Here is a 22,743-nt window from a genome sequence, read left to right on the forward strand (position 1 = left end):
AAGCACAATAATAGAACATGAAAGCCAGTAGAATGATCATTTCTATGTGCAGAAATACAATAATTGCCAATTTATGATTATATATCCATAAAAAATATCTTTGAAGAATTTGAATTGGCCAGGTGCTGTGCCTTACACCTGTAATCCCAGCATTTTGGAAGGCCGAGGTGGAAGGATCAGTTGAGCCCAAGAGTTCTAGACCAGCTTGGGTGACATACTGAGACCCCACCTCTACAAAAAAATAAGAAAATTAGCTGGGCATGGTGGCACACACTTGTAGTCCCAGCTACTTCGGAGGCTGAGGTGGGAGGATTGCTTGAGCCCAAGAGGTCAAAGCTGCAGTAAGCCATGATCATGCCACTACACTCCAGGCTTAGCAACAGAGCAAGACCCTGTCTCAAAAAAAAAAAAAAAAATAGAATTTGAATGCACTAAATACTTGTTATGAGACAAGCATTGTCAGAGTTGTTTTAAAGAAAGTGATATGTGCTTTACATAAAGATAAGTCTAAAGAAAATGATAGAAGTATATTATGCAATTCTAACAAACAACAAGGCAGACACAGCTATATAAACATTAGATAAAACTGGCTCTTAAGCAAAAAGCATTACCAAAGATAAAGTAATTTCATATAAATAACAGGTTCAATATTTTACAAAAATGAAACACTTTAAATTTATAAGCAAATAATAACATAACCTCAAAATATGAAAATCAAAAATTGACAGAAACACAAAGAGGAATAGATAAATATACAACCACATATTTTTGCTGTTGTCGCTAATGAGTTTGCTCTCCCCAACATTGACGAGGTATAATTTTCTTACAATAAACTGCATTCTTCATAGTGTGCAATTCAATGACTTTTAAATTTTATTATTTATTATTTTTTTGAGACAGAGTCTCACTCTATTGCCCAGGCTAGAGTGCCGTGGTGCAATCTTGGCTCACTGCAACCTCTGCCTCCAGGGTTCAAGCAATTCTCCTGCCTCAGTCTCCCGAGTAGCTAGGATTACAAACCTGCACCACCACGCCTGGCTAATTTTTGTGTTTTTAGTAGAGATGGGGTTTCACCATGTTGGCTAGGCTGGTCTCGAACTCTTGACCTCAGGTGACCTGCCTGCTTCGTCCTTTCAAAGTGCTGGGATTACAGTCATGAGTCATGGTGCCTGGCCGAATTCAATGAATTTTTAACAGATAGATACAGGATATCCTATCTCCCCCAAAACTTTTTTTATGCCTCTTTACGGTCCATTACTTTTTTCACTCTCAGCCTCAGGCAATCACTAATCTAATTATTTTTTTGTCACTATAGATTAGTTTGCATTTTCTAGAACTTTATGTAATTATTAGGTTGGTGCAAAAGCCATTGCGGTTTTTGCCTTTCAAAGTAATGGCAAAACCATGATTACTTTTGCACCAACTCAATAAATCATACAGTATGCACAGCTTTGTGCCTGGCTTCTTTCAGTCAGCATAAGGATTTCAAGAGCCATATATATTATTGTACATATCAGTAGGTATTTCTTTCATTTTGCTGAAAGGTATATTCCTTCGTATGGATGTACCGCAATTTGTTCATGCATTTGTCAGTTGATAGACATTTGGGCTATTTCCAGTTTTTTGCTATTGTGAATAAAGCTGCTGCAGACATTTGTATACAAGTCTTTGTGCCCCCTCTTCAGTAAACACGTAAGAGTAGAATGGCTGGGTCATATGGCAAGGGAATGTTTAATGTTTTATGGAACTTCCAGTTTTAATAAGTCACTCTATTATGTTGCATTCTCATAAGCAAATTATGGGAGTTCTAGTTGCATTATATTCTTAGATATTCTGATGTATTCTTATTCTAATTTTAGCTACACTAATCTTTATTAATATTTAATAAACACTTATGTATTCTAGATACAAATCTGTTGTCAGACTCATGTGTTGTAAAAATGCCCATCCATTCCGTGGCATGCCTTTTAATTTTTCTCAATGGTGTCTTTGGAGAACAAATCATTTTTTTTTAAATGAAGTCCAATTTATCAACTTCTTATGCATTTATTTTCTGTCTATGAAATTCTTGCCTAACCAAGAGCACAGACATTTTTTCCTATGTTTCTGTCTATAGATTTTATAGATTTAAATTTTATACTTAGGTCTATAAGTCATTTAAAGTAAGTTTTTGTGTAGAGTGTGAGGTGTCAGTTGTTTGTTTTTCTATATGAAAATCTCTGTTCCAGCCCTGTTTGTTAAACAAAACAAAACAAAACACCTTCCATTCCCTAACCCATCTATTTATCAAGTGTAGAATATAAAAGGAAATTGTTGTACATTCATTAAATGGAATAGTACACCTCAATGAAAATGAATAAATTCGCAATATGTGCAATTTATTTGTGAATTAATCTCACAAATACTAAGAAGAAAAACACAAAAACTGCTAAATTATAAGTTTTCCAAATAAACTTTATAAATAAGCAAAATTAAATTACATTATTTAAGGATGCATGTTTATGTCATATAACCATAAAGAAGAGTAAGAATAAGTGGTCACAAAAGTTAGGGCAGTGGCTTCCTTTCAAGAAAAGAATGAGGCTGTGATGGGGAAAAGGCATTTCAGGACTTCTGGGATATTAGCAATGTTCTACTTGTGGTTATACAGATATATGCTTAATAATTATTCACTGGAATGTGCATACAAGTTATATTTACTTTTTTGTCAATGTGTTAGATTTCATCAGAAAAGAAGAAAGATCAGGATAAAGTATCTGAAACTGTATCTGCATGAAAATGGTAACAGCTGTGGTTTAGTGAAGAAAGTCCTGGCACTGATAAAAATGAATTTGGGCAAAGTCACTTAACCTCTCTGAGCCCCTTCATTTGTGAGGTGAGGATGATAAAATTAGATAAATTATATAATAGCTCTTTGTAAGTTGAGCCATGAAATAATAATCATAGTAACTATTATTATTATCATTACAAGGGAGTGGGCAAAATGACTTAAACGAAAAGATTGCAGTTCATCTGTTCCCCTCTCTAGCCTGTGTGGCTTTCCCACTGAGCAGCCATGAAGCTGTGCCCCTCAGAAGAAGCTGTGCCCCTTCAAGTGTGTAGTTGGCTGACACTTCCAGCGGCCGCATTTTTAGGATCCACTGGAGCATTCGCACTGAGGTGACTCTCTCCCCAGGTTGCTTCTGCCAGTACCTGAGCACGGTGGGAGTACTAGAGTTGGGCCATTTCTGCACAACACAGGACTCTTCCAATGGCCAATATTTGTTCCTAAGGCTCCACCATTGGCCTGGCCAAGACCTCGGAGCTGTGCTGCACTCAGAGGCTCTTCCTACCCGATCCTCCATTCGCTCCTCTCCTTCCTCAGGTCAGACCTACGTTGCTGCTTGAAGGCTTTCCCTGACTTCTACTTCACCTTCCACGGGACTTTCCTCCATCTTGGAAGACCAGAATTGACTAACGTATGCAGAACAGTGCTTTTAACTAGCAAGAACTATGCAAATTAAAAAAAAAAAAAAAACAAAAAACAAGAAATTGTATGAGATGTTGTTTACAGGTGCTGAGATTTCTGACTTGTAAACCAACAGCTTCATACAGACAGTGCAAACCAACTTTTGATTTATATTTGATCCCTTTGTCCCACATAAACAAGGCCAGAAACACAGATATGAATATTTTTATCCAAAAAAGTCCATGAATAGAACAACTGAGTCTTCAAAATGTTTATTTTGCATACTAAACTACATTTTCTTTACGTATTTCTATATTAGATCCAGATTTTTAAAAATAAATTTATGAAAGGCCCAATGAATCTTGATTTGCTAAAGTCTCTCAATGTGAAGTCTTCTAAATAAATGCCTTGTGTCAATTTTGATATGTCACAAAGCTGTAGAAGTCAAAAGATGTAGAGAATTTAAAGATTGTAGCAAGCAGATTATATTAAAACTTTTTGCATCCATATTTTGTGTTTGTGTTTCAAATATTTACCAAGTCAGCAGCCAAATGAAAATGATTTTTGCATAAACTGTAAATTGCAAATTTCAAGAAACAAGGAAAATGCATTTAAATTTATTTCATTTAAAAATAGTCATGCCTTGGTGTTTACAGATTTTTTCTTCTAAAACTTTTTAAGAAAACAACAGGCAGCATACTTTGAAAGTGCTTTATTTTAAACCACCAGTGCATTTTCCTAAAATTAAACTGAAGTCTGGTTTACTCTAGCATAGTTACTTTAGGAAGTATTTAATCCAAATTCAAAATCACACTTAATTTCATTATTTAAGAACCGAATACCTCACTAAATTGTCAATCTATAAAATGTACCACTTCGATCATATATAAGGAAAGCATAGCTGATTATCTGCACTACTTTATGTCATATTTGGGACAGTGGTGGGTAAGATAAAGTATATTATTAATAATCGAACCTGGGTGAGAGGCAAGAATTATGCCACTGATCCAACGAAGTACGTAATATCACAACTGTGTTTGTGCAAAACTTCACCTCATTGACTCTGCTACCAACACTGTCTTCCTTTTTTTCTTTTCTTTTTTTTTTTTTTTTTTAAGATAGAGTCTAGCTCTGTCACCCAGGCTGGAGTGCAGTGACTCAATCTCAGCTCACTGCAAACTCCGCCTCCCGGGTTCACGATTCTCCTGCCTCAGTCTCCCGAGTAGCTGGGACTACAGGCGACTGCCACCACTCCTGGCTAATTTTTTGTGTTTTTAGTAGAGACAGGGTTTCACCTTGTTAGCCAGGATGGTCTCGATCTCCTGATCTTGTGATCCACCCACCTCAGCCTCCCAAAGTGCTGGAATTACAGGCATGAGCCACTGCACCCGGCCCCAACATTGTCTTCTAACTCTCATCTGATTCTTTTTTTATTTTCTTGATCAACTAGCTCTGCTTTCTCCTGTTCACCTGCTCATTTTCTTCCCTACCTGCTTGCTTATCTACCTTATTTTTGATTTGTAGATTGAATAGATGTTTAAGCCCAATATCTATTTCTCAGTTTTTCCTTCTTTCTCTCTGTGTAGTTACAATTCACCTTCTTTGGAATCTTCATTGTACTCTCTCAGATATCACCCTTGGAGTTGAGGACTCCAACTTTCCAGATCTTCTTTTGCACAAGCACCCTGAAATGCATCCCTTAACCCACTGCCTTATCTTCCAGATCTTGTCCATCATTCTTAACAATTTGACAGCGTGTCCAGAACATTGCGCCTAAATGAATCTAACAAGAGGTAAGTTGAACATAATATTGGTATTTGAAAGTCTTCAATAGAATTAGGCCCTTAATTTAGCTTTTTCTAAGACTTTAAACATTCAAATGTTTCTTCTGCTTATACTTAAATAGTCTTTAAGGCAACTTATTTGTTCCCTGAACAAACTTCAGTTGCTTAAAAAAAAAAAAAAAAAAAAAAAAGAGGGCCGGGTGCGGTGGCTTACGCCTGTAATCCCAGCACTTTGGGAGGCTGAGGCGGGCAGATCACGAGGTCAGGAGATCAAGATCATCCCGGCTAACATGGTGAAACCCCGTCTCTACCAAAAATACAAAAAAATTAGCAGCTCGTGGTGGCAGGCGCCTGTAGTCCCAGCTACTCAGGAGGCTGAGGCAGGAGATTGGCATGAACCCAGGAGGCAGAGCTTGCAGTGAGCTGAGATCGCACCACTGCACTCCAGCCTGGGTGACAGAGCAAGACTCCATCTCAAAAAAAAAAAAAAAAAAAAAAGAGAAAGAAAGAAGGAAAGAAGAAGAAGAGAGAAAGAAAGAATGAAGGAAAGAAAAGAAAGAAAGAAAGAAAGAAAGAAAGAAAGAAAGAAAGAAAGAAAGAAAGAAAGAAAGAAAGAAAGAGAAAGAAAGAAAGAAAAGAATAGAAAAAGAAAGGTAAACTTATTTTAATGAATTCTTAGATGTTTGCAAACACATGAAGCCTCCATTGGAGACACAGCAAAACCTAGAAAGCCTTCCCCTAGTCCTGGGAAGTGTTTCCATTGCAGCAGGAGAGAAAAGGAAAAAATATGAGCAAGGGGAGGTCAAAGTAGGGCCAGTCAAGACCTCTGACCTCTGTTCCCTTGTTTCCAAAGTCCCTAAAATTTAATTTTGTCTTCTACCCTGAAATGATTGACAGATGCTCAAAAATCATGTTGTAAATCACAGAGCTCTTCATTTATTTATTTATTCAAGCACTTATATAATGCTTACCATGTATTAGGTTGGTGCAAAAGTAATCACAATTTTGCCAAAAGCTGTGCTAGCCCTTGGCTCTGGTCTCAAAAATTGGCTCATAATGTACTTTATGTCTATCTTCTTAAATTCATCAGTCATAATTTTCTGTGTGGTATCTGTACTCAGCCAGATGGAAGAATCAAATTGATTCCCAGGAGTGTAACTAATGAACCCAGGTAAATCTCAAACAGATAAGTTGAGAAAGTGTGGAGGATTTTGCTTGGAGAGCAGGAACTCAGAGGTCTTTAAATCACATACTTTAACCTCCATTCCTGTCTACTAGGCTGGTCTGATATAAAAACAATGGTTTTATTGTTATCCCAAGTCTCCTCCCCTCCCATGCAATTGTCTGTTTTATTTGATTATTTGTTTGTTTTTGAGATGGAGTCTCGCTCTGTCACCCAGGCTGGAGTGCAGTGGTGCATCTCGGCTCACTGCAAGCTCCACCTCCCGGGTTCACGCCATTCTCCTGCCTCAGCCTCCCGGGTAGCTGAGACTACGGGCGCCCGCCACCACGCCCAGCTAATTTTTTGTATTTTTTTTTAATAGAGATGGGGTTTCACCGTGTTAGCCAGGATGGTCTCGATCTCCTGACCTTGTGATCTGCCAGCCTCAGCCTCCCAAAGTGCTGGGATTACAGACACAATTGTCCTTTTTCCCATCAGCTTCCTACCTGGAATTTAAGGCCTAGTTTGTCTTATTCTGACACTCTTCTTTCCAGGAGGGGGACAACTCCATTTAAGAGAGAAAGAAGCTGTGTTAGCCAAAATTAAGTGAGGGCTGTGAACCCATTCCTATCACCTGGAACATGCACACTCCCGCTAGATTAGGGCAGATAGAATTTCAGGTCCTGCTACCACACCAATGGTTGTAAAAATAGAGGCCAAATATTTAACATTGTGTTGAAATTTCAGGCCAAAGTAATGTAAGCCAATCAATACATACAAATTGTTGCCCCTGTTCTTGCACTGATCCATTTCATTTGTAAGATGCATATTCTCACTGGCCAGAAATTCAGACTAAGTTTAGTCATCACAACTAGTGCTCTAAGCACACAACCAGAATCTAAACACATACCCATCCAAGCCACCACCCTACCACCCACAGAGCTGCCATCTCATTCTTACTTGATTCTTGCACTTTCAACAGGATTTCTTCTTCTCCATTGTCTTCAACCATATTTCTTTTCTTAGTTCACAAAGCCTTAAGTTCTCTTCAGCCAGCTTACTAATTTATTCTTCCTATCAGAGCGGCATACCAAATTCTTAACTAAATTAGATGGTATAGGGAAGGCACATTATCAAATCTAAAAGAACAACAAGATGTAAACTATTATTTTTAGCAGAGATGGCTGAAAATGGAGTAACTTGAAAAAGGTGAAGACAACCTTCATGTACATCCCTGACTCAGTTTACCATTTGCTTACTCTGCCAGGTGGTACCCAATAGCTCCTCAGCCAGAGTGAAATTATCTATCTAATGTTATCTCATCACCATTTTTGTTTACTTTTTAAAAATGTATTTGTCTAATTAGAGGCTGTGCATGAAAACAATCTTTTTGTAAAAATATAGATAAAGTTCAAGTCTGTCACTTTCATCAATTCCACTCAATTTTTGTTACCTGCAACAGAAAAAACTACCATTGGCATTTTGCCTTGTATCTTCTCAAACCATTTTCTATGCATTTACATACATCTTCGTACATATAGAAAATTAGTTTTGTTCTGTGAGATTTTATTTAGTTTTGTTTACAAAACTGGGATCATTCTGTTCATTTAGTTTAGCAACATGTTTAAGTTACTATGCCTTGAAAATATTTTCTCTTTTCCAAATATAGGTCTTCCTTATTCTTTCATCTGCTGCATGGTTACTTCATGTGAATGTACCATAATTTAGTCATGAGTTTCCTTAGGTGCTTGGCAACTTTTACTTTCCCCAATAGTGCTGAAATGAATATTCTTATAAATGCCACTTTATACATATATGGGAATATTTTTCCATCATCATTAATATTAATAAAAATTCCCAAATTTCTCTGGAAAACTACTTAACCAATTTGAGTGTTCTTCATTTCTCTATGTCCTCATATAATACTTAGATTAGCTCCATTTTTACTTAATTTGTCTTGCTAAAGAGGCAAAAAATCTCATTTGTTTTAATCTGCATTCCCTTGTTGCTGATGAAGAGAAACTTCTTTTCATATTTTCCACTGTTTCTCTTTTCCTATCCTTGTCCTATGCTCATTTGACTATTTAGTTGTGTTTTTCTTATTGATTTGTAAGAGTTCTTTATATAGTCTAAATACTACTCCTCCATCTGTTTTCTATATTAATAATATTTTCTTCTTGTCTTTTCTTTGACTCTTAACTTTTTTATGGTACAAGAACACTGTAGTTTGTATAGAGTTCAATTATGAATATTTTTATGGTATTTGCATTTTGCAACTTGCTTAAAAGACACTCCTCATATCAGATTTGTAAACATATCCTCTCATGTTTTCTCTTAGTTCTTTAGCAGTTTTAAATTTTATTTAACTACTCTGCCTAACAAAAGAAACTAGCAACAGACTAAAGATAACCTACAAAATGGGAGAAAATATTCATCCCAAACAACTGTGTTTGTTTTGGATACAAACTGTGCATCCAACAAAGTCTAATATCCAGAATCTATAAGGAATTTAAATCAACAAGCAAAAACAAGCAATCCCATTAAAAATAGGCAAGGGACATGAACAGATACTTCTCAAAAGAAGACACACAAGTGGCCACCAAACATATGAAAAAATGCTCATCATCACTAATCATCAGAGAAATAAAAATCAAAACCACAATGAGATACCATCTCATACTAGTCAGAATGACTATTATTAAGCAGTCAAAAAATAACAAATGCTGGTGAGCCTGCAGAGAAAAGGAGGCTTATACACTGCTGGTGGGAATGTAAATTAGCTCAGCCACTGTGGAAAGCAGTTTGGAGATTTCTCAGTGCTTAAAACCAAATTAACATTTAGCCCAGCAATCTCATTACTAGGTATATATCCAAAGATATACATATGCACTTGTATGTTCATCACAGTGCTATCCACAATAGTAAAGACATAGAATCAACTTAGATGCCTATGAATGGTGGATTGGATAAAGAAAATGTGATACATATACACCATGGAATACTATGCAGCCATTAAAAAAGAGTAAAATCATGCCCTTTGAAGTAACATGGGTGCAGCTGGAGGCATTTATCCTAAGTGAATTAATGCATGAACAGAAAGCCAAATACCACACATCCTCACTTTTAAATGGGAGTTAAACACTGAGTACACATGGAGATAAAGATGGGAACAATAGACATTTAGTACTACTAGAGTGGAGAAGGAGGGAGGGGGGCATGGACTGAAAAATTACCTATCAGTACTATGCTTACTCCCTGGCTGACAGGATCATGAGGTTTGTACCCCAAACCTCAGTATCATGCAATATACCCATGTAACAAGCCCGCACTTGTAGTCCCTGAATCTAAAATAAAAGTTGAAATTATTTTAAAACAATTTTTATTTAACTTTTTAATCCAGCTGGAGTTCACTTTTGTACATAGTGTAATTTAAATAATTTACCTTTTTTCCTCAAATGAAAAATTAGTTGGCACAAAATTATTTACTGAGTAGTTTGTACTTTTCACTCTGATATGAGATACTGCCTTTATCATTACTAAATTTCAAAGTATACATTACTCTGTTTCTGAACTCTCTATTGGGTTCACCCTATTGTTCTATTTTTTAAGGAATGTAAGGCAGTTTTGATTATTATAACTTAAGTACATGCTTCAATATATGAAAGATCAAATTCCCTCTTATGTTAAAAAATAATTTTTTGATTATTCTTTCATGTTTTATTTTCCAGATGAATTTTGCAGTTAGCCTATAACATTCTATAATTTTCTTGTTGGAACTTGTATTTAAACTACTTTGAATTTATAAATGTCACTTTTTTGTACAATATATAATTCTCTAACTAGATGTTAAAAGCAATGTAGATATAATTTCCATCAAGAAAAAAGTTTCTTTGCAATATCGAAAACTAGAAAGTGAATCTTAGATTTAATGTAAAAAGTAATGAAGAATCTTAAATGGAAGAATGAGATGAAAGATTTGGGTTTAGAAAGATTTTGCTAATTGTTTCAGAAGCTTCCTTAAAGCAAGGTTTCAGTTAGTATTAGGGTTATGATAGGAATAGTCTTACATAAGGGTAAACAGTTAGATTGTGGCAGCAATCTGGCATGAAAGGAAAAGAAGCCAGCTAGGGTAGGGTCAAAGTGTTTGGAGGGGAAAGATGAATGTGAAATATTTCCAAGAAAGAAATAAACTATAATCATACCCTTGTTTGCTAAATGAGTCTCTGGAGCATTACAGTAAAGCATTTTGGTTTCCTTGTCCTTGAGTCTCCATTTGGGACAGAAAGCCTTCAAGACTAGCAATGATGATTCCTATTTTTTACTTCATTTGCATATCTGTGCTATGCCTGCTTTGTGTTTAGAAACATTGCAGGATTATAGTCCCATATTTTCTGTCTTTCACCTTGAGCTGTTGCCTGAGGTTTTCACATATGGTCAATCTTTTGGCTGGCTTTAATACATTTAGACAATAGCCTGCTTCATTTAAAAAACAAAACCATACAGTATAGTTCCTGTCATTGTTTTAAAGTCATAAGAGTATCAAAACTAAATCTGTTACACAAAATATTTAAAAAATAAATTTATTGTGTATATTTGGGGTTTACAACATGATGTTATGAGATACATATAGATAGTAAAATGATTACTTATAGCAAAGCAAATTAATATATCTAGCAACTCATACAGTTACTTTTTATTGTGACAAGAACACAGTAAGAGCTAAAATCTTATTTAACAAAGATTCCTAATAAAATAGAATTTTAGTTACTACAGTCTTCATGTTGTACATTAGATCTCTAACTCATTCATTCTTCATAGCCCCATTTCCTCTTCCATTCCCCTGGCTCCCCACTGCCTCTGGTAACCACTGTTTTATTTTCTTTCTCTGTATATTTGACATTTTTAAACATATCACATATAAGTGAGATAATGCAGTATTTGTCTTTCTTTGTCTGGCTTATTTCACTTAGCATAATGTCCTTCAGTTTCATCCATATTGTGGCAAGTGGCAGGATCTCCTTTTTTAAGGCTGAGTAATAATATTCCATTGTATATTTATACCAGTTTCTTTATCCATTCATCTGTCAACAGGCACTTAGGTTGTTTTCATATCTTGGCTATTGTGAATAATGCTGCAATGAACATTGAAGGACGTAGATACCTTTACAAGGTGATGATCTCATCCCCTTTGGGTATATACCCAGAAAAGAGATTTCTGGGTCATATTGTAGTTCTATTTTTAATTTCTTTAGAAACCCCCACACTGTTTTTCATAATGACTACTTTCCGACCAACAGTGTACTAGGGTTTCCATTTCTCCACATCCTCACCAGTATTTGTTATCTCTTGTCTTTTTCATAATGCCCATCCTAACAGATGTGAGGTGATATCTCATAGTAGTTTTAATTTGCATTTCCCTTATTGTTAATGATGTTTAGCACCTTTTTATATATTGTTTGGCCATTTTTGTGTCTTCTTTGGATCAATATTTGCATAGGTTTTTAGCTCATTTTTTAGTAGGTTTATTTGTTTTTCTGCTATTGGGTTGTGAGAGTTCTTTATAAATGTTGGATATTAATCCCTTATCAGATATGTGGTTTGAAAATATTTTTCCCAGTCTATAGGTTACCTTTTCATTTTGTTGATTTCTTTCTCTGCTGTGTTTAAGCTTTTTAGTTTGATATAATCCCACTTATTTATTTTTCCTTCTGTAGCTAGTGCTTTTGGTGTGATATTCAAAAAATCATTGTCAAGGGTAACATCAAGGAACTTCTCCTCCATGTTCTCTTCTAGGAGTTTTATGCTTTCAGGTCTTGCATTTAGGCCTTTTATCCATTTTGAGTTGATTTTTATGTATGGTGCAAGATAGAGGTCTGACTTCATTCTTTTGCCTGTGGAAATCCAGCTTTCCCAGCATAATTTACTGAAGAGACTACCTTTTATCCATTGTGTCTTCTTGGTGCCCTTGTCAAAAATTAGTTGACCACAAGTTTGGATTTATTTCTGGACTCAATTTTGTTCCATTAGCCTGCATTTCCTTTTTTGTGCCCATACCATACTGTTTTGATTACTATCACTTTGTAATATAATTTTAAGTCAGTCAGTATGATGCCTTCAACTGTGCTTTCCTTTGGCAATATTACTTGGGCTATTTGGGGATTTTTGTGGTTCCATACACATTTTTTTTTGTGGTTCCATACAAATGGATTGTTTTCTCTATTTCTGTGAAGAATGTCATTGGAATTTTCTTAGGAATTGTGTTGAATCTGAATATTGCTTTGGATGGTATGAACATTTTAATGATATTGATTCTCCCAAAGCATGAACACAGGATATTTTTCCATTTATTTGTGTACTCTTCAATTTCTTTCATCAATGTTTTATCATTTTTAGTGTGTAGGTCTTTTAACTCCTTGCTTAACTTTATTACTAAGTATTTTATTTTTCTTGATGTTATGGTAAAGGTGAGTATTTTCTTGATATACAGAAAATTTGGAATCATCCAGGATTACAGGTACTGGCATCCTAAGGAAGTTAGTTTTTCAAAAGGTACTTATCATCATCATCATCATCATCATCATCATCATTATAATTCCTAACATTTATTGAGTAGTCACCGTGTACCAGGCACTTTCTCTGCACACATTATCTAGACACTATAGTATTAGTATTATCTAGATAAATATAGAGTATCGTATTAGTAGAGAGATAGACACTATGAGTGTTCCCATTTTACAGATAAGGAAACTGAGATAAACAAAATGTAAGTAACCTGCCCAAAGGCACACTCCTGCTAAATGACACAGTCTTTATGTTGAACACAGCAATTTCACTACCAAGTCTACACTTTTAATGGCTATTCTAGATGACTAAATCAGTAGAATCTTTTCTTAAATAGGAAGATCTTTAAGAATTTGTTAATTGCCACTCACCCCTTTTCTGTTACATTATTTGAGAACTTGTTTTGCCTTCTTAGAACCGTATTTAGATGTATTGAATCTGTATATTTGTGTTTGAAGCTCTTATTTAAGCAAAAGAGAAAGTGAGTCATCAGGTTTTAGATGCTTCTTTGACTTGAGTGTTCTAATTTTGCTTGTTCTCCCTGGAAATGTGCAAACATCCTGAATGTCTGTGTAACTGAGTCTTCTGAAGTTAGACAGAAACATCCTTGACATCATTTCCCATTATTCACCGTAATGTTGGTCACTTAACTCTTCTGCAAATTCCATTCCCTGCTATCCTACGTTAGCACTTCAGATCTGGTCTCCAAAGATAACATTTGTCATTCTTCCTCTGTTGTCAAGCTGGCTTATTTTCTGTGCATTTGAGGTCTGAGTAACAGTTACAGAAAGCCAACTTCTTTCCTGGATCAAATGAAGATGGAGCTATTTGGAGGAAGTGGAGCCCTACAAGTGATTTCTGGTTTTGAAACTGTTGGCAGTATTTGATGAAGTACGGTATTATCCTTAAGTTCAACCTGAAGACATTTGCAACATGTCAGACTAACCCAGAATGGTCCAATGCCAGGCTGCCACTCATGCTTAATTTATTCAGTAGTAATTAAAGAGCTGTTTAAGGTTTCAGCTGCATTTACCTAACTGCCTTTTGACAAGAGAACAAACTGCTTCCCAGTCTGCCTTGACACTCTAACTGTAAGCAGATCTGAAAAAAAATTGTCTGGGTCTACATACAATTTAGTTAAAATAAGGTAAAATGAAGAAATTACTGCTGTTGATATTCTCACTTTCTTTTTGAGAAAATGTCTGACAGTATTGGCTTCCAGAAAAAAGGATTCTACAAACCATCTGTGCTAAGAGCTATATCAATGTGAACATTCAGAGAAGTCCATGTAGCCACTGTCAGCGGCAGGCCACTGGAGGAAACTCCTAGGGTTTTTGTTTAAAAGAGGGTGGGGAGTTATTAAACGTTCTGCTAATTAGATGCGTAGTCCTAGTTTGGTGAGCTGAGACACATGCCTTTCCCACTGGAGTTATTTGCTGCTGCTGCACAGACTCTGGAGACAGCCACGCAGTCCAGGGTACTTATCCCACAAATAAGGACCAGCTTGTTCCATTCATTTGGAGTGTATCCTTTCTCTAGTCCTGCTAAAATGCCTATCTACTTTTTTTTTTTTTTTTTTTTTGAGACAGTCTTGCTCTGTCACCCAGGCTGGAGTGCAGTGACACCATCTGTTCTCACTGCAACCTCCGCCTCCCTGGTTCAAGCGATTCTCCTTCTTCAGCACCCCAACTAGCTGGGATTACAAGCGTGAGCCACTGTGCCTGGCTAATTTTTGTATTTTTAGTAGAGACAGGGTTTCACCAGGTTGGCCAAGCTGGTCTCAAACTCCTGGCCTCAAGTGATCTGCCCACCTCCACCTCTCAAAGCGCGGTGATTACAGGCGTGAGCCACCGTGCCCAGCCTCTGCCTATTTTTGTACCCACTTGAAACATTTACCTTCACCCAACACATGCACATACACACATGGACAAACACACACACACACTCACACACACACACACACACACACTCACACACACAGAATTTAAATCCACACTGGGAGGAAGAAGGGAGATGAGGGGAAAAGAAGAATATAAATGTATTTATGACACTGAACTATACACTTGAAAATGGTAAAGATGGTAAATTATATATGTACATTTACCTCATAAAAACTTTAAAACTCAAAAAACTAAAGTAGAAAAAAAGCTGGAGGTGAATATTATGCTCCACATTGGAAGCAAATTTGGGTCTGATATGAATCTAAGGGGAATCTTTTGTTGTGGGAGAGTTTGCCTTCTCCCATATACACATGATGGAATGTTCATGTGCAAAATCATAATGGATGCAATAGGTAACAACAGTAATTCCCCCCAAGTCAAGATCAGGAATATGTTAATGGCCATCCATTAATAAAGCCAAATTACACAGCATCATGTTTTCTTAGTCATCTTGAATATAATTACTGTTGGTAGGGGCTAAAATATTTACACAGGGTAAAAAAAGAATGAGTAATTCTGAATTATAATTTTCTTCTCAGCTCACAGAATCCCACACCTGAAAGTTGGTTCAAATTAATTTATAATTCAAGACCACGTGGTTTATATTACATTCCTAATAAGCCCAACCAGAACCAAACCATTTTTAAAATAGCAAGGTAGGAGGTGTAAACCAGGGACTCAAGCCCTGGTTTCAGCACTAAGTGGTATCACATAACGTTTGCACAGGTCTTTATCACATTTCTCCTGTGACTGTGAGATAAGATGTTTGAGTTTTTGCTACTTCTTTCAGGCAGCAGGAAAAAACTTATCGGTATCAACATTTTTTAAGTTTTTTGTTAGGGTTTGAAATGGTGAAGTTATTAAAGAGATCTGGGATCATTATTTTTCATCACAGAATAATTATATGGAAGTACTAAAGGAAAAAATCACACTTTAATTTTGTTAAAAATAACTACGGTGTTTTTATCCCAATATGAAAAAAAAAGGCAACAAAACGTTTGTGTTTTTTTCCCCCTTTTAGATTTAGTTAGCTAATATTTAGGCTCTCCTGACTTCTCATTTCCAGTTTCTCACTAAAATGCTAGAAATCACATTTTCATTTCCTGAGAAATTTGGCAGTCTTCTGGCGTAGACCTTCTCCTGCAACCTGCGATTAGTAGGCTGCAGCAGACTGTATTTTCCAAGGACAGCCACAACATGATCCCCTATCCCAAATGCTCCTCCAAGACCTTGCAGCTCCCCCTTCCATCCTGAATTTGGGCAAACTTGTGACTCACTCTTAAGCACTGGGATGAAGCAGAGTGATGGTGCGTGACCTCTGAGGCTAGGTCAGCTCCTGCCCTGGGAGCTGGAATGCTCGTGCAGGAGGCTGGAGTGCCCTAGAAGCAGTTCAGCTGCCCCAAGGCAGCCATGCTAGAAGGAAGCCCAAACTAACATCCCCAGAGAGATCACGTGAAGAAGTCCTGACATCAAGGGAGCCCCTACCGGCCCCAGCCCCTGCTTTTCCAGGTCAGCTAAGTGTACAACTACATGAGCATCATGTGCCCAAACGCCCCAGCCAAGACCTTCCTTCCCAGGAGCTGGTTCACAGAAACTATAAAGATAAGAAAATACTTGTGTGTTTTAGGTCACTAAGGTTTAGGTTAGTTATAAAGCAACAGTAACCTGGAACATAGGTATTGGGAAGAAATTAAATTACAAATTAAAGTCATGCCCATAGCTTCAGAAATTAATTGGCAGAATTTTTGGAATGGATCTATTTGAATATAGCCACCCTGCTTCATGGGTTCACCATACCAGCATTTCTCAAAACTATGTTGAAAACTCTAGAATATAGTTGGCATATGAAGTTCAGATATTTGAATCCTAAAGGCTAACCTCATTTTCTTCCGTCTGTAATGAACTACCCCAAATGAAATTACAAGAGTCAAACCAAAAAGAAAGTAGAGTTATATGGCAAGTGGGTTAGAATTACTTTTAATTAACAAAAATTTCCCTGAGCGCTTCTCCCCTCTCCAGCAGGCAGATTCTCTCTTCATTTTCAAAGTGGTAAATAATAGAACCCTCTCCTACTGGGCTTCCAGGGTTTTATGCTTCTCTCTAAGAGGGAACACTATGATTAAAAGATGAAATCATCTAGTAGGTGACATTTTAATCATCCTTCCCTAAAGAATTGGGTTTTCAATTTGGATGTGTTAATTTGTGCTTCTGCTTAGGCTGCTTTGTAAATGGAAGTGTTTTTCAATAGTTGAATAGGTGGTGTGTGTGCTCTGTCTCTTAAGCAAAAAAGGGAGAGAACTCTGTCTTCCCTAGGACCTGTGCACCTACTATAGTTCTGCACCCAGCAAACCTTCGATAATGTGATGTCTAAATGGGAGCGTATCAAAGAATGCAAGATCCAGCAATATCTTTACAAGTGTCTATGAAATAATAATAAAAGTAATCATAATAATGTAACAGTGTTTTTTGAGTATTTACTATGTATCAGGTACTGGCACAAAATATTTTAAAGCATTATCTCATTTAATATTCATACTATTTACTTAACTGGCATAAAAAAGTGTGTGTGTGTGTGTGTGTGTGTGTGTGTGTGTGTACACTGGGGCCTTCAGACTCTTGGCTATTGTTCTTTAAATTTTTTTGCAGCTTCAAAAAGTAGTGAAGGCATGGGAAGAGAATTGCTTTTTCTGTAGAATTGTACAGGGCACACAACAGCCAGGGGACAATAAGAAAAACAGAAAATAATCCAGCAGGACCAAGCCCACAACAGCTATCAGCCTCAGACTCACCTAAGGTAGGCCCTGTGACAATCACATGGGTGCAAGTGAAAAATTGACTGAAATGAAAGGAAATGCTGCCTCTTCAGAGATGCATTTTCTGACCACCCAGTCTGAAAGAGCTCTCCCTCCTCCAGCCCCCCTCGTAATTCTTATCCCCACCTGGCATAGCATGCATTACTTGTTTGTCATTGATTTTACAGGATTAGACCACAGCCTCCATGAGAACAATGGCAGAGAATCCTGCTGTCTCCCCAGCACCTGGAATAGTGCCTGGCACAGAGTGGGTGTTCAATGAATATCTTTCAAATAAATGAATAAGAACAGACTTTGAGAGGAATTGGAGAGGTAGTTGGATAAGGGAAAGACTTAGGCAAAAAGAAAGAAGTACACCTGAGTTAGGTGCTGAAAACAGACAAGCTGTGTGTAGAACACGTGAGATGAATGCTTCAGTTACTCCCACCCTTCCGTCCCAAGCTACAGTGTTTAAAAGCTGCAGTTAAAAACACTGAGCAAGGCAGCGGGCACGTGATTCAAGAACATGCTGTTTCTAACCAAACAACAAGCCTCATTTTTTAATACCTTCAGTAACCAGAGAGATGAGTTGTCTTCGATTCATTTTCCCTTCTTATGCTTAATGGCATCTGCAGACATTATATTTTCCTTTTTATTGACTGCTTATTTTTGCAGTAAAAGAACTTGCGGCAGCATTCGTTTGACTTAAGTACCATAATCGAGAGATTAGGATAATATTCAGCACCCTTCAAATTACTTGTTCAATGCCTCTTAAAAAATTGATCAGATTTCTTCTTTCCTCTTTCATTTAACAAACACCTACTGCGCGTACGGCCTGTGTTCGGCAGCGCCAAGAAAGCAAAGACGAATCAGATAGAGATCCTGTTTTCAGAACCCCATGTGGGTTTCACCAGGATGCGTGCACCTGCACAATGTTTCTTTTCTGCAGAAGCAAGTGACAGTTTATATTAAATCACTAAGTTTATTTTTCATTCATCTCACCAGCTGTATAGCAGCTTTCATGATATTCTTTCATGTCATGGAACATTTCCTGTGGGTTATGTTGTCCTGTCCCTTTGTTTCTTAAAACAGAAAGCAGGGGGAAGAAAGTATTAGGACATCTGTTTTATGTGCCTGTGAGAAACAGGACTGAATACTTGGGACTTTATGTTCTTTTTATTTCTGCTTTACCTCCATGACCTGCATGGAATATTAGTCGTTTCAACAGATCTCCAGATTGCAGAGTTTTAAAAAATTTTTCTGATTTTATGAAGATAATTTTATAGTCATATCCATCAAATTCATTTACCCATTCCTGCATTTATTTATTCAACAAATATGTCTTAAGTTACTATCAGATGCCAAGCAATACCCTACTCTAAAAGTCTACAGTCTTGACGGAAGATAGACATGCAAACCCACACTTTTGTTTGTTGTATGAAACAATTTTCATATGACAAGAAATTTGGTTTAATAAAGATATACGCAAACCTCGGGGGCAGGGATCAGGGAACAAAGCAAAGGAACCTAAGTCCGCTGTAAGAATCAGGGAAGGAGTAACAAGAGAGGTAACAATGGGTCTGAGAGCTGGAGAATGAGTGAGAGACTGCTAAGCAGAAAAGCAATAGGGTGTGTGAGCAGAATGGGGTGCGGGGGAGATGGTGTTCCAAGCAGTTGGCAAAGTTGAGAAAAATGGAGATGTGACATGTTGCAGTACAGCTGAGGTGTAAAATAAAAGAAGGAAGTGGCAGAAGAAACTGGAGAAGGAAGGAAGACTTTACTCACGGGAAGACCTTGTGTTTCAAGAAAAGGAGTTTATATATTTATCCCGGGGGCATATGAAAGCACTGAAAATTTTTGAGGAATGCCATAATCATGTTTTGTTTTCTAAAGATATGCTGATGGCATTGTGAGGATTGCATTAATGATAATGAGAAGTGTGGAGAAAGGAGAAGAGAGGGAGGGGGCCCAGTAAGCCTAGGCTGGGCATAGTGGTTCATGCCTGTAATGCTAACACTTTGGGAGGCTGAGGCCAGAGGATTGCTTGAGCTCAGGAGTTCAAGACTAGCGTGGGCAACATAGGGAGACCCATCTCTACAAAAAGTTAAAAAAAAAAAAAGTCAGGTGTGCTGTCATGCACCTGTAATCCCAGATACGTGGGAGGCTGAGGCAAGAGGATCACTTGAGCCCAGGAGGCTGAGGCTGCAGTGAGCCATGAACACACAACTGCACTCCAGCCTGGATGACAGAGCAAGACCCTGTCTCAAATCAAAAGAAAAAGAAAAAATGTGGAGTGATAACCAGATGAACAATGACCAGATGAAGGTTTTTTTTCTCTCCGTTTTCTAAGATGGGGAATATGAAAGAGTCATGAGGGTGTCTGTATGGTGAGGAGAATAGCCAAAAGAGAAGGAGATGGGAAACTGATGAAGCTTGGCCTGGGAAACGGTGGAGATGAGAAGCGCAGAGCACAGTGGAGAGGACTGGCCTCAGGTGGGGATGGAGGCAGTCCTTCTTCCGAGATGAACTGGTGTGGGGAAGGATGAATGAAGTGCCACCAAGTGTCACAGAACAGGGGCAAGAAGCTGAGGGAGTGTCCCTGGTAACCTCATTGTTCCCTGTTAAAGAAAAGATGGAATCAGGTGCCAGGAAGAGGGCAGGTAGAGGGCTGGGAAGCATGACAAAGCTGGAAAATTGCACAGTGAGAGAGACAGAGAATAAGAGATTGGGATGGATCTGTCAAACTGTGATACACTCATAAAGATTACCACACATTTGTCCTAAAATCTGGGGCTTAAATTTATGGATAAATATATATTTCTAAAGTATTCTAAATCTCTTTAGAATGTTTTTGTCTCATTTTCTATCAGAATGTGTTCCCCTATGTCACTGCTTCTCCCACCCACTGAATTTATTACTCGATAAGAGAGTGAGTTGTTAGGATTTAATGGGCATAAGAATTACCAGAGGAGATTGCTGAAATCACACATTTCTGGATCCTAGCCTCAGCAATGCTGACTCAGTAGGTCAGGTTTAAACAGGCACCACGGATGATTCAGATGCAGATGGTCTGAGGACCCAAAATGCAATGTGTTGCTATGGGAGGTGAACTTGAGCAGCTCCGGAGATTGTTCAACATAATCCAATATGAGAAGTTTTCAGGACTTTGTTTCATCTGCTAAGATAAGGAAAAACTTGAGAGACTTCAAGGAAGTGTTTAAAATATCATTGCACGTTAAGTTACGTTTGGTAGAGATAAGAAGGATTGGGATGGATAAGGAGAGATGACCAAATTCAGAGCAAGATGAGCACTTCAGTTTGGAAAAATAATGTGGGCAACAGGATATTTAAATATTAGTATATTACTATAATTTCCAGTCCCCTGCAGTTTTTATTAAGTATAGTTACATTGCATTTGTATTGTCAAGTTGTCTGTGAAGAAAAAGTTTCTAAGTATGTGCTGTATCCAAATGCTGTAAGCAAAGTGGATGTGTGGCTATAGACCCTATTCTTCATTGGTTCATCTTTTAAAGGAGCAGGTGGGAGAGGAAATATATATAGAACACTTGTGACAAAAAAATCATAGATCAACATAATACAGATATTTGGTAAACACCGTTTATTCTATTATCTTTCAATATTTATGGAGTGCCTACTACTTGCTCACTCAAATATAATTACTAAACACCTAATATGAGCTAGACACTAGGGCAAAAAGCATATCAAGATAAGAGAGCTACTGAACTTATCCCCAAACTTCCAGTCTCATTGGGGAGACAGAGATATCAATAAGTTACTATAATATATAGTTAAGCATGGCAATTGCTTTAAACACAAGGGTTTCTGGAACGTGTGTAGTGCCAGTAATGGCAGGTAGAAATGGATGGAAACTATTCCAGCTTATAATGGTCAACAAATCCTAACAACCAAGTGATGTGTAACCGTGCAGCATTATCATGTAAGTACAATATTATGAGGAATAATTGCTTGCCCCAGTATGGTGTAATTTTCTGTAGAGTTGTATCAAACGTATAAAAAATAAGCATGTCTACTCCTATACCAGGAGATATGCTAGACAAGTTCACAGAAGCATCATATATAATAGCAAAAAAATGGAACAACAAAAAGATTTATCAACCATAGAATGTATTCTTTTTTTAAACTCTGGTATATTCAAATAATAGAATATGCTACAGAAGTGAAGTGAATTACAGCTACATAAAACAACATGGTTATATCATAGGAATATTATACTGAGTAAAAAAAAAACTGGACATAGAAAAATACATATAATATGACTTCTATAAAAAGTACAAAACCACGCAAAACCAGCAGGTGGTAAACTATAAAGAAATATAGGAACCTTATGAAAATTCAATATAGTGATCCCTCTGAGGAGAGGGAAGAAAATGGGCTTAAGGAGAGACCCACAGGGTTTCAAAGGTAATACAGTATTCTTTCAGTTACATTGAGTAGGGGTACATGGGATTTGTTGAATCATTACTTGTGATTTACATATATCCCATAGATATGCATATGTAGCTACTGAACATTCAATGAAACCAACTTAAAGTAGAAAATAATATATGATGGGACCTTCAAAAGAAGATACAGCATTTTCTTGGTTTTCTTATTCACCTTGCATCTAAACTAGACAATATAAATCAGGTTTAAAATCTGCTTTTACCAATGAGTGTTATTCACAGCCTTTAGTTCTATCACAACTTCAATAAGTTACTTTAACAGAAGCCAATGGACATTCGTTTAATTCTTACACTATATGCCCAGCTTGGCCCATCCTTACCAGGGAGTCTTGAACCATATGAGAATGTCTGTTTGAATTGAAGTAGCTAGAACTGTATTTAAAAAAAATTTAACACCTATATGTTCACATCCTATGGGTATGCATACAATATTGAGAATCTGTTATGTACCAACACAGAGAATGCAATGGGAATCCACTAAGTACAGAGAAAGATTGTCTCCTATCTTCCTGAGGAGATCCAGAAAACTTTTTTTAGAGGAGACAAGGTTTACATTGAACCTTGAGAAATGA

At 37.1% G+C, this 22,743-nt stretch overlaps 3 annotated features.

The window, feature by feature from the left end:
• Positions 13,406–13,840: a transcriptional cis regulatory region, noted in NCBI's record as "candidate enhancer chr8.2191 targeted for multiplex CRISPR interference". NCBI's record gives its function as "positively regulates CA1 gene expression in K562 cells {active_cell/tissue: K562}" and the evidence as "EXISTENCE:mutant phenotype evidence [ECO:0000015][PMID:30612741]".
• Positions 13,590–13,734: an enhancer, noted in NCBI's record as "145 bp enhancer 208 fragment used in the MPRA reporter construct; PK_construct_4197". NCBI's record gives its function as "activates an SV40 promoter by MPRA in K562 cells {active_cell/tissue: K562}" and the evidence as "EXISTENCE:reporter gene assay evidence [ECO:0000049][PMID:23512712]".
• Positions 13,654–13,671: a transcriptional cis regulatory region, noted in NCBI's record as "GATA motif; MPRA enhancer 208 activity is reduced when this motif is scrambled". NCBI's record gives its function as "necessary for full MPRA enhancer 208 activity {active_cell/tissue: K562}" and the evidence as "EXISTENCE:site-directed mutagenesis evidence [ECO:0005528][PMID:23512712]".

The sequence above is a fragment of the Homo sapiens genome, chromosome 8 (assembly GCF_000001405.40).
Source record: "Homo sapiens chromosome 8, GRCh38.p14 Primary Assembly".
Classification (NCBI taxonomy): Eukaryota; Metazoa; Chordata; class Mammalia; order Primates; family Hominidae; genus Homo; species Homo sapiens.